Below are 13,239 nucleotides of genomic sequence, written 5' to 3' on the forward strand. Positions count from 1 at the left end.
GTCACTTTTCTGAGTTTTGTTCAGGTATAAAAATATCAATACCTAGCTCACAGAGCAGACATGTGGATCATGTGAGATAAATAACATAAAGTACTTGACGAATAGTAGGGAGTAACCTTTAGGTACCTTACCCCTCCAATTAATATGAAATCATATTAATAACATCAACAGTTTATCCATATTCTATATGGTATCCATTGACACAATTATGATTACTCTATAGTTTTACATTTACATGGGGTACATATGCTTCCATTTAACATTCCTCTTCAAATAATTGTCTGAGTAAAGTATATACTGAATCTTAGTATTTGTAAACACAACTAAGTGCTTTGCTATGCAACCTAGCAAATCCAGAATCTAAAACTTACTAGTTGTTCAAAGTTGATAGGTATTGAAAATTATCTTTTACATGAAATACTGGTATCTTATCTTCTTCACATTTAAGGAAATTGGAGGCCAAAGGCTAAAACGTCCCTTGGTTAAAGATAAAATGCAAGGGAGTGGAGCTACCATGCCCATGGCTTACCTTCCAATATTTGAATTCTAGATATGTATTTCAAGATAGTGAGGCAGTGTTTCACAAGACAGCTCATGAAACTTCCCTCTACAGCAGTCTCAATTATCATGCCAAAGTGAGTCTCATAACAGAATTTACCTCCAAATTTTTAATAAATCCCTCAGCAAACAGTTGTTCTGGTTGTGTATATCCAGACTTTGGTTGAGAAATGAGAGATGAATGGTTTAAAACTGAAGCCTGCTTATAAGCAGAATTTCTGAGTAGAGAAATCACAATAAAATATCTAATTCCTAGGTTCAAAAGAGCAGCCTGTTTGAACCTACTTGCTTGCTTTCTCTCCTCTTTACCCCTTTCTCCCTTTCTTTTTTTATTTCCTTCTTAGCAGTCTGAATTGACCAAGTTCTAGGCCATTTATTGACAAGTCTGTTCCTAGCTATCAACACTTTGATCTTGTCAGAGGACAATCTAACCTCTTGAGTCAGAGTTAGCATGCGGGGGTCAACTTACCTCTATGAGCATGATACAAAGACAGGAAATTCAAAACTTAATATGACTGATATATGACTAAAGTGACATATGATGGTAGAGACAGTTCTACCCTCATGGAATCACCTTTGAGTATAAAAGAGGTCTTGAGAAACCACAATTCTTACCATTGGCTTGGTGGGTGCGCGGCGAGGAGGCAGGAGATACTTTACTGTTTCCTCTTTAAACTCTTAATAGAAGGCTGTTTCTCAACAGCCTGACTCAGCAACTTCCTAAGTTACTCAGTTCTTTAAAAAGTTTAAGTGTGACCTCAATTCTGCATAACACAGATCTATAATCTGTCTTCAATTTGGAAAGCCTTATCCTTAGAGAAACTGAGAGAATAATATCACAATAATGGTATCTTAGTTCGACAATGAGATTTTCTCCCATATAGATTAAAAACAGACCCTGGGAACAATCTTCAAGAACATTTTATTGTTTTGATGAGACAATAAAATATGAGGTTATCATAATAACAGTGAGCTACCTTTTCTTCTTCTGGCAGGAAGAGGCAAAGCAAAATATTTTCCAAAGTGGCAAAGTGAACAAGAGCTTCTCTTTGTCCTGTGTATATAGTGTCTAGTTTTAGAAGTGGGATTCCCAGAGCAACGGTTTCTACAGCATGTTGTGAAGGAAGTTGATGATATAGCTTTTGTCTGAGAGTATTAGTACTGATAAGCTTATGATAGGGAACCAGGTCTCCTCCACTCCTTCTCCCCACTCTCTTTAATTTACCACACCGTAACCAGATAGGGTGCGTGTGTGCCTTGGGAGAGTGGGTGGGTCAGGTGGGGTGGCACACACTGAACAAGCAGAGAAGATTCCACAGGAATCCTCTCAAAGGTGAAAACTGTTACATATGCATTACCTTGTTTAGTTTTATAGTAATTGTCCCCTTTGTTTATAGAATATTCTAGTAGAACTTTGCCATTATGGTGATCACTCCATAGCTATAATGCATACATAGAGCAGATATGAGTTATGTCCCATAATTCTCTTGTCTGTTCAGTGTGCTAGGTATTGATATTTTTATATCTGAATGAAACTGAATCTCAGAGAGGTTCAGCAAATTGCCCAAAGTCATTACAGTTAGTAAGCAGCAAAGCCAAGATCCAAACCCAGAACTTTATGACTGCAAAGTCCATGCTCCTTCCACACAGTGTCAGCCTGCCTCATTTGGTAAGGTTGATTGTGAAACAAAGATGTGATTTATTTTAAGCAGTGAAAGATATACAGTTTGGAAGGAAAGTGGAAGGAATTTGGTCGTTTCTCTTCTCTCCTCTCTTTATTGTCCTTACCTTCTTCATTCTCTTCATCTTCACTTTTGCCATTCTGAGAATAAATAAGAAAGTTCATTCTTGAGGTAGAAAATGGTGGCAAAGTATGCAGCTGCCTACTTAAAGAAATATGGGGGAAGCTCCTTGCCATTCACGTGCCATAGCAGCTGAAATTCCCACTATTAGAGAGTTGCTTCTTTGGGAACTTTGTGTATTTTGTCTCTAAAAGTTATCTTTGAATGTGGTAGTTTATGATGTTATTGACACCTTTTCCCAGGATTTTTGTGCCCAATGTAATCATCACAGAACATACTACTTTTGACCGGTAATGAATGAGCATAAAACGTTTAAACAAGCCCATTGTAGACAAAGAACAGAGCAAGTTCTTTGGGAAAGAAAATCTGAAAGGTGTTAGAATTCAGGAAGGAGGATCCTGGCATGCTGCTCTGTGGAAAGTCATCTTAATTTTATTTACATCGACCCAGGGGAAATGAGGCATGTGCAGACCTTAAAATAGGTTTAATTTCAGCTTAGATGTCAGGAAGATGTCAGGAAACCTTTCCTGACTCCCTGAGACCAGGTTGTGAGTCCTTGCCCTGAGCTTTTATAAATATCTGCACTTCCCTTTATCCAGCACGTATTTTGCTGTCATTGTCTGTCCAACTCCATCACTAGACAATAAGTTCCTTGAGACCATTCATTCACTCGAAGAATATTTCCAGTGCTAGTGTAAAGTTCAGAAGAAAATACAGATTAAAATATCCCAAATAGTTGAATCTTTTTTACTTTTAACTTGGAGGTCCTTTTTAGCATGGGAAAAAGTCAAACACACTCTTCTATTAATACTTTAGGATTGTAGAGTTGAGTAGATAATGTGTAGTCATCTTTCAGTAGAAGGCAATGGAGATTTACTAGGAAAATATAAGGGGGGGTAATAAATATATTTTAAAATGTTTTCAAGGGAAGGCTAAAACTTCTTAGGAGTTTTTCATTTTTGCTAGGTTACTAAGAATGGAATTCATGATCTCACTACTAACTCAAAAAATGTATAGATAGGTGTGTGGTTCAAAGTGTGAAAGATTCAAGGAAAAGCAAAGAAAGCAATAAAGTGCAAGAAATGGAATGTGCAAGTAGAATAATCATAAATGAGTGGGATTTTAGGGTATTGCTAAAATGCAAAAGAGTATCAGATAAGAAGCTACTTGACAATGATTACTTAGAACCAGCAACCTTCCCAAAGATACATTAAGAAGCAAACAACAAAAGCCTCTCATTCAGAAGAATTTTTTTGAGAATTTGCCAGCTCATTACCTGTCTGGAATGACAAAATCTCCTCTTTGTCCTGATCAGTGAAATTGTGTCCTGATTTGACACAATTAAACCTCTGCTGGCCAGATTCTGTCACAGGACCCCATAATTCATTGTACTTAGTAATCACTTGGCAAATTATCATGGTCATCAACACAAATGGAAATAGATTTGCCTAGAGGAAAGGTCATCAGTGAATAATAGCCTGTAGACCAAAGCTCTGTAACCTGTTGCAAGTCTGAGCTACTGCTCGGCCTTGGGTCACTCACATAGTAATTCCTGGCAACTCATCTCTTGCTGTAATACAGAACATAGTAGAAAGTGGATGTCAGTCCATAGACCCCATTATTGGTGAGGTGGGTTAGGGAGGAAGGAGAAGTTGCTGACTGGCAGAAAGACCTTGCTGCAATGTGGATTTACCTCTAAGGAAACCAACCCATCAGCATGAACCTGACAGCAGTGTGCACTGTGGTGCTCTAATGAACAACCCTGAACTACGTTTTTTCCCCTCTCTGTTAAGTAATCCTGCAGGGATTACAAAGATGCTTCTAAGATTTCTATTTTACTTCCTTAAATAAACCTGCAATTTCAGCCTGCTATGAACCATTGAAATTGCCATTTTCTAGGTAACAAATGGTTGCATATAGGCAATTTTACATGATTTAACCTAATTGTTAAATGGTCACACAGATTTGGTGCTATAATATAACTGTGGGAAGAAAGAAAGAATGAAAATGTGAACACCAAATATCTTATATTTTTTTTTCCTAAGGAAGCCCGATCGGGTTAAAAGAGAAGGCAAATTCCTTTTAGCTGCAATTATTATTTGTGGAATATCTAATCACATGATGCTGTGAAGTGCACACAATACACAGAAGACACCAACATTAACTTTGAGGAATTTATCTTCTGTATGTGAGGATTTGGGTAAATATAGAACAAAAACAGCATTTCCATTTTCCCACCTAGCAGACAAAAATGGCTATATTGTAAAGTGCAACTAATCTCTCACAAAGTATACTGATGCCAGTGCCAGCCCTATATACCCAGAAATATCACCCACTGGCCTTATTTTGCTGCCTGCTACAATCCCCTTCCACCCCACTATATTCTAGATATATTAGCCTTCTTTTCTGGACTGATCATGTAATTTGCAAGACCAATGTGAGGCCTCTTGTTAAAAATGTAAGAATTTCATGGTAGTGACAGCAGAGCACTAAACGGGGGCCCTTTAAGCATGAGGGCATGTGTAACACCCAGGTTGCATGCCCATGAAGCCGGTTTTGCTTCTTTCTGTTTCTCACATATGCCAAATTCATTCCCACCCCAGGGCTCTGATAACCTGCTGTTCTCTCTGTTTGGAATGCTCTTCTCATGGCTGAGGTCTCAGCTCAAATGCTTCTTCCTCAGAAAGGCCTTCCTTTACAACTCTGTTTAAAGAAGCCTTATTTTTTTTTGTCACTCTATGTGACATCATATTATTTTGCTTTTTTCCCCAATATTTTGCTCTGCTGGTTTTTTTTTTTTTTGCTAATTTATTTATAGACTTATATAAGTTATCTATTTCCCCTCCATTAAAATGTAAATTCCACAACAGGAGGACTTTATCTTGTTCACTCTGTCTTGTTCAGATGGTTCCTAAAACAGTACTTGGTATGAGCAGATGTCCAGTAAATACGTTTTTGATGAATAAATGAACAAACTAGATTATTTACAAGATATTTCTAGTTTATAAAAAGTCTTCACTGGTCTTCAGGTTTTTATGTTTTCCAATAGACTCAGCTAATATACACACATGCACACCAACACACAAATGAACCAATGACTGAAGTTCAAAACTTTAGCCAATCCAATACATCAGAAATGGAACCCTCATTCGGCTGTGATTACTAAGTGATTTATCTTTAGAAATCATACTACATTTTAAAGATCAACCAGCTTTTAAACTTAATTCTACTATGGCTCTCATAACTCAACAATTTTAAAGTAAAAGTCCAAAGTTGGCATATATTAAAATGTTGATTGAAAATAACTTGTAAAATAATTTCTAAGAAAATATGGTAAATGTTTTTATTGCAACTATGCCTACTGTTGAAAACAGAATATAATTATTAAGACATTATTACATGCTATGAGAAAACTGAATGCAGCTATAATCTTCCACAAAGTTAATATTCACTTTAGAGTAGTTATATAACAAAAAAGTCAAAATAATTATACAAGGGCACAAAAACTAGTACTTTGACACCCTGGCAGAAATTGCTATCATGAAATAACCTTGGTTGAATTAACCGGAAGCTCATGTTAGATTACAAAGCCTCCTGCAACATACTAATTTAATTGTATCTTTTGAATTTAAGAGTCAAAGATAATGGCCCCCTAAGACTTGACTTTGCTTTTCATGGCTCAACTGGTTCTGGCTAGAGAGTTGGCACTGCATGCAAATCATCTTTTTTGGTGGTTTCATAATTTATAGCTACAATTAGAAATTAACAAAACAAGTTATAAGCACTGACTGTTGAAGACATTTCTACATATCCAATGAGATATGCAATGCAAACTAAATAGAAGAACGTTTGCAATTTAAAATATAATTCTCCATAATGAAAATGTAAAGCAGTCGTTCTGTTTTATTCAGCATGGCAGGTTAGGAATCCCCGTGAAGCTACACTGAAGTAAAGAGTAGATTAATAATTTAATTTGGTTCAGAAGTGTGCAATGGGGCACCACAACCTTTTATTCCATAACCAGCTGCTGACCCTAATATGGACGAACCAATTAGACATCTCTATTTCATTGTTGGGTGACCCATCTAAAACTCACCAGGAATTTTCATTTTCGACAACACTCAACAGTCTGAAAGAATCCTAGTTATCCCCCTGGTGGAGATGGTTGATTTGATAGAAGCACACAAAGGAGTTCAGCAAACAGGGGAAAAAACTGCAAGATCATTTTAGACTGTGTTCTGTAAAAGAACATCTTAATATAATGAGCCTTTTTTCAGTCTCCCTTGGCGGAACGTCAGCCCTCTCAGATAACCCCACACAAAGCAAATACTATTCGTCTGAAGTTACATTTGCTCCTTGTTATCACAACTTATGCCACTTAATTCATTATTCAATGAATTCACTTTCTTGTTTATTAGATGCAAGGTAGCCGCTTATCCCTAAAGGCCATGTATGCAAAAGACTGCTTGTAATCCTGTCACTTCAAACCTCTCTAGACTTTTACATTGCTTCAGGAATTAGGAGGAAAGAAGCAAACAACTTAGATTTATTCCTGATGATATTAAATCTGTACATGATGAAAGAAATAAGAAAGAAATGCTAACCTGAAATTTGTTGATTTGGAGAGTGGCTTCAGATGCTATCTTTACATGCAAAAGTTAGTAATTCACTTGCTTCTCATATTGAACACCTTGAAACATTCTTCTTACATTAAAGAGGAATAAATAAAATGCATTTTTTTTGTATAGGTTGTTTGCAAAAAAGAAATAATGTAATACAGTGCACCAACTGTATTTCAAAGATGCAGGCCAACTCGACATTTCATGTGCTGAAAACAGGTATTAAATATACTTTATAATCTGATATCTGATATGTTATTGCATTTGGGTACCACTCTCTAAGTATATTTAATGTTGGAATAAAAACTGAATTGAAAAGTTTTTTCATTATGGATATTTTAAGATTCCTTTTGGTTGTCATTAACAAGACATGATAAATATATTCTGTATAATATAAAGCAATATGACTATTTGAACTCTTCACACAACATAGTATAATGGTCACAGATATTTCAATTTGATTTGGTAATCTTATGCTATTAAAATCATTAAAATGTAAATGAATTACTGAATTAAACACACTTTCACTACACTCTTAGCACAATTAATATTGTATAAAATTATCTGCATAATTATACACAGTATGTTTACATAAAACAGCCAGGAAAGAGCTACAAATCAGAGGCTGAGTGTAAAATATTTTAAGCTGTGTGCTGAAGTCTTCTAAATATGGAAATCTAAGTGGTTGTTTTAGTATTGGTGCTTTATGTAACTGCAGACTGTTCTAAATTTCATGCTTTACTTATTTAAATGCTAAATAACTCTATACCTATTTTTAAAATTCTCATAAATATATATACATGTACATATATGTGTGTGGGTGTGTATATATATATAGAGAGAGAGAGAGTGAGTGAGTGTATTTTAAACCTGTGTGCATTGTTCACAAAATTAAAAGGAAATTATTTTCTTCAATTAATTTACATTATGAGTTAACTATTTGAAATTTAGCATTAGTTCATCAGCAAAAGCCACAATGAGCATTTTAATGCAGCATAGGATATACAGATATGCCTAGGACAAAAGACTCAACATTTCCAGAAAATAGGAACCATTTACAGGGAACCTCATTTTATGAATAGAATTGTGACCAATAAAATAATGTTACAAAATTACCTGCAACTATTCTAAGGAAAGAAATACTCTTGAATGCTTACATACCTAGCAACTGTGGATATTATTGTAATTATTGCCATCCTTCACAAGCATCACTCATATTACTATAGTGATGAACAGACTGATTCACCTGAATAATTAACCTTTACTACAGCATAACTACCTTCGGTACAGATTAATGTTTTCTATTCAGCTTAAGACATAAACCTACATGGGAAATCACACTTATTAAAAATGCTGTAAAAATCAATTGTTTCCTACCACTCTGAGGAATTAGTATCAACAATTAATTTGTGCAATATTTTTAAAAGCTTGTATTCATCTGTCTGTGCCCATTAAACAAAAACAGAATACAGCAAAATGAAATTAACAAAGAATGCTAATAAAATACAACTTTTCTGTTGATATCTTAGATATATAACTTTATTCATTATTGTACAACTCTTGGTTTTTTACATGTGGGAGATTTAAAAAGTCACCCAGTGATTTTTATAGTGCAACCGTATGCTAGATAAAGATATTTAAGCTGTCAGTATAAACTGCTTCTGTTTTCATTTTGCATTTAATTTCAATGCCAGACTCAAGGCATAAATTTTTCATCACCTGCAATGCTATGAATAAAAGATTAAAAAAGGAACTGAGAAGAAATTCTAACACATGCGGTGCATGCAGCACATTGTGCAGACGCAGTATTCATAACTAGATGTTTAATTTCCATCTTTTTTTACGTCAGGAACATTATTATTTGGGTTAATACATCATGGAGCTAATTTCCAGTATTTTAGCTTTGCAGAATTCAACTTTACCTAGTTTGAGCCAAATAGGCCATTCATTCTACTTGAAATCTCAAGTATACGCCCTAAGATTTACATGCTACTTTGTTAGCACTGCAGGGTTCTATTACTCTCATATTTCTAGAAAGGGAATATTTCAACATCATATATTTTTGTTTGGTTCCGTGAAATAGCATGTACATTAACCTTGCCTCAAAGTTCAAAGAACTAAGAATTACTGAAATGGTCCCGCCTAATATCAGTTCCTCATTAAGGCTTGCTTCATGCTATCTGCCAAAAGATATCATCAATCCCAAGAGGTAAAGTTATGAGCTCAGTGTTAAGGCATTTTTTATTTAGTACTTAGGACTGTTTTCTGTAGCACAATGCATCTTCACTGTCACTTTATTAGCCTCCACAGGACTCACAGACTAGAACAATTTCTAATTCTTGCCAATAGACTCTTAGTGAGCAAGAGACGCGTAAGAGCCGTTCCTAATCTCATCAGGAGGGCCTTGGGTTTATTAGCCTTGCCATTCTGAAACTTCACTTTCTCAGGGCAGTCAAGAGCCTGCTGAGGACTACAGGCCTATTGGGGACAGCAAGAGTTATTCCCTTGGAGGTTAATGGCTTCTAATAATGTCTAGCTTATTGTCTTTGGCTCTAATTACTCAAACTAATTTTTATGGTTATAGAAATTAAATATATGGAAAGCTTTGGAAAAAAATAAACCAAACCATATTTTGATACATTATTATCAACATAGTATCCAATTAGCTCAGTTGGTTAGCAGATAGTGCTAATGAGACCTACGTCATTGGTCCAATTCCACAGGGGCCAGTTAGCTTTACTTTGTTCTGTGGTCACAGACGGATACCTCATCCTATCCAGCTGTCTTAAGTGGTATTGGTCACCAAAATAACCAAATGAGAGAGCATGGACGGATTAGTGTAAATCCACCTCTACAACTAGGCTCTAGAGGGCATCAGCATCATTTTTTGTGACAATTGTACAAAAATGAGGTTTTTAAAATGAGACTTTTTGATTTTTTTGCTTATTGTTTATGACTGTAAAGCAAATAATTTATATCTTCAAAACATTTAATGGGCTTTAATGAGCTAGACTTCGTAACATCTCTATGATATTGACAAGTTTAATTAAGCTTACTTTACAGTTGAAAAAGCTCAAAACTGAGAGGTTAAGTCACTTGTCTGAGGTCACATAAAATGTCAGAGGTATTTCTCAGATTAGAATCCTGGTCTTCTGTATCTCATTCCATTGCGGTACCCATGAGAGTGCTCTGCCTCTATGGAAACAGTCTGAAGACACAGTAATATGTCACTATATTATCACATTATTTTTCATTATGCTAGAAGACACAGCTTAGCGAAAAGGCACAGTGAGTCAAGGATTACAGATGTATTTCTCTTTAAGCAACATAAATGTATGGAAATTTGGATTTGCTGAACAGATAAATTAGAAAGTGTCATGTATCACTTAGTCTGTGCTACCTCATATTGTTATTAATCATTTTTTTTGCATAGTCTAACTTCCTAACTAGACAGTAAGCACGAGGACCATGTCTTATATCTCTTTGAATCCATACTAGATATTAATAAATATTTAGTCATGACAATGGCATTTGATTGGAAGGGGATAGAAAAATATATGACTGTGGACCCTACGGAAAGGGTAAAATAGGGGAAGAGATAAGCATCATGACATTGGGAAGGCATCGATTTTTCCTATTGGGCCTGTGTCATTGCAGCAATTTTAGTTTGATGTATTATACAAACAAACTTTATAAGAGTGCCTAAAACATACCCTAGATACCAAGCATGAAGAGGCCTTACAGAGATGACATACTTAAGGAAAATGCTTTCGATGAGGAAAATGCCTAACCAGCAGTGTAGGAGAGGCAGCTTGGCATAGCTATGGAAGGTAGAGATGTCACTCTGTGCAACCCTGCACCACGCCATCAATGGAGATACGGTGTTGTGTGAAAATTAGTTGCTCAGTATTGTGGAAGAGAAAACCACATGATGGCAGGGGAGATGGGCAGAAATATGGTTTTTATTTTTTAAAATTATTAGTCACAAGATATTTTTAAATTGTATGCTTTTCTTATGCCTGAGGTAACCTTGTTTAGGAGAAAATTGATTTACTTAGAACTTTTCAGAATTATGGCTTTTTTTTTTTTTTTTTTTTTTTTTTTTTGAGACAGGGTCTCACTCTGTTGCCCAGGCTGGAGTGCAATGGCATGATCACATGGAGCCTTGACCTCCCCGGGCTCAGGTGATCCTCCCACCTCAGCCTCCTGAGTAGCTAAGAGTACAGGTGTAAGCGACCATGCCAAGCTAATTTTTGTATTTTTTATAGAGACGAGGTCTCATTATCTTACCTAGGCTTGTCTTGAAGTCCTGAGCTCAAGTAATCTGCCTGCCTCAGCCTCCCAAAGTATTGGGATTACAGATGTAAGCCACCACACTTGGCCAATTATGGTAATTTTGTAAGTTAAAGTATACCTGTAAAGCTTTGTTCCCTTCAGGTAATTGGCTTGAATTTGATTTTGTTAGTGAAGGATGAAGTCAAGGACCATTGGGGTTGCTCTGTAAAATGAGGAGCTGTTTGGGAAATAGGTCTTAACACTAATGTGATTCAAGAAGGAAATGGCAGACACAGCAGAAAACTCAAGATATAATGTGCATATTCCCCACAGATGGACCATCAACAAGTTTTTCATTTTAATGCAGTCATCTCTTTCCTATTCATGTCTCTATTATTAAATCTCTGGTATTGGGGTTCCTCAAAGAATAGCCTTCTGAGCTCTATGGGCTGATCTCATCACTAACTCCTATAGCAGTTAGGATAATCACTATCTTTTCTTGTATATGAATATTCTGTGCAAGGTTATTAGAAAATGTAAATTCACTGCTCAACTTTATTTGTTAAAAGCTAGAAAAAATTAAAATCATGTAATGCTTATTCTCAGGTGAAATATAGCACTCTTATGCTGCACAGATTTACAGTATAATTACATAGGCAATATAGTTTAATTTTCATCTTCTGATTTTTAAAGTATTATTAATAAATTCGTGTTTGATATTATTTGAGCTTTGATGATAATTTGCCTTCTTCAACATATGAGGAAATGTACTGAACACCCAATATTTCAGGGATGGCTTCTTCCTGCCAGATTAGTGCTTATCAACCTAGGAGGCTTCCAGGGGCCATGAACCTCCTGAAAGTGTTGGCAAGTTCTGGAGGTAGATACGTATGTTACATGTTTCTAGGCAGAGCTCTTCTTAGAACTTCAAAGGAGTTCCTGTTTCAAAAGAGAGGTAAGAACCACTACTCTAAATTTTTATCTTGTGTTCACTTGTAAGAAGTTAATATTCATCTCTCTGTGACAATTAAAGATCTGTCTACCTACCTACCTACCTATCTCGTTCAATTTAGTTGTTTTATAAATTTGTGGAATGCTCAAATAAATGAAAAAATGCTGTATTTTCTTTCTAAAAAGAAAAAAAGGGACACATGTGACAACTAAAAAATTTACACCAATTACAATATTTCCATATGGAGTACTGGGAGAGATTAACAGGGGCAGTTAAAGAAATGTCTTTCCTTCAGATATTTAAGATAAAAATAAATACTCTCTATAAGAGACTTTAGATGTAGTTCCTTCTAGGAAGTAGTTTGCTAGACTAGAACTCTTGGGGTCGTTTCTAGGTTTATGATTTCTTCATTACATGCTTCCAGGATATGTCAGATAATTACTTGTCTTCACTGTCAATCAAACACATCACTTCAGACACAGACCATGCTTAACCTATATTTTAAAAAAGAAAACCTGTTTGAACCAAAATACTCCAAACACACATACAAACACATTCACTGAAGATCAGATGTTAGAGAAATGAATTCTGTTTAGATTCGTGCCATCAACTTACTTAGTTCTCAAAAGCAAGTTAATCTTGCCAAAAATCATTGAAATGTGCTTTATTTTACTCCCAATTGCCCTAAATTTCTTAAATGCAAAAAATTGGATTTGAGGTTAGTCAAGAGGGTTTCTCAACATATCTAAGATGATTTTAAAAATTATAGATTCTTACATATCCCAGGTCTATACAAACAGAATTGCTAGAGAATAGCCCTGAGAATCTATAGTGTAACAAGAGACTAAAGTGACTTACGATCATACAAGGTTAGGAAATCTAAAAGGACGTGATATTCTCAGTCTCTTAAGATTTTTGGCATTTGGCTAGTTGGTACATGGTTTTCTTCTGAAGATCTTCAATATACAGTATTATATAAGTCTTTCCAATTAATTTTACCTAAAGGCTGGGAGAATACATTCCCAATCATGAA

At 35.5% G+C, this 13,239-nt stretch overlaps 1 protein-coding gene and 1 long non-coding RNA gene across 6 annotated transcripts in view; one reads left to right on the top strand and one right to left on the bottom strand.

The window, feature by feature from the left end:
• The window catches only part of LOC105379087 (uncharacterized), a 140,268-nt gene extending 133,060 nt beyond the window's left edge, over positions 1 to 7,208 (top strand). For both annotated transcript variants that reach the window (XR_001742441.2, XR_948581.3), the window contains one exon: positions 7,109 to 7,208. This is a non-coding gene — a long non-coding RNA (uncharacterized LOC105379087). The remainder of the gene's footprint in view (positions 1 to 7,108) is intronic.
• Positions 1 to 13,239, bottom strand: part of KIAA0825 — a 467,754-nt gene that overhangs the window by 93,801 nt on the left and 360,714 nt on the right. Inside the window, exon 22 of one of the 4 annotated variants that reach the window (XM_047417110.1) lies at positions 1,464 to 2,380. The exons of the other annotated variants lie outside the window; for them this stretch is intronic. Within the exon in view, the coding sequence (XP_047273066.1) occupies positions 2,263 to 2,380 (118 nt within the window). The 3' untranslated portion in view covers positions 1,464 to 2,262. Of the gene's footprint in view, positions 1 to 1,463; positions 2,381 to 13,239 lie in introns of those variants that run through there. 4 annotated transcript variants of the gene reach the window in all.

This window comes from Homo sapiens, chromosome 5, assembly GCF_000001405.40.
Source record: "Homo sapiens chromosome 5, GRCh38.p14 Primary Assembly".
Lineage (NCBI taxonomy): Eukaryota > Metazoa > Chordata > Mammalia > Primates > Hominidae > Homo > Homo sapiens.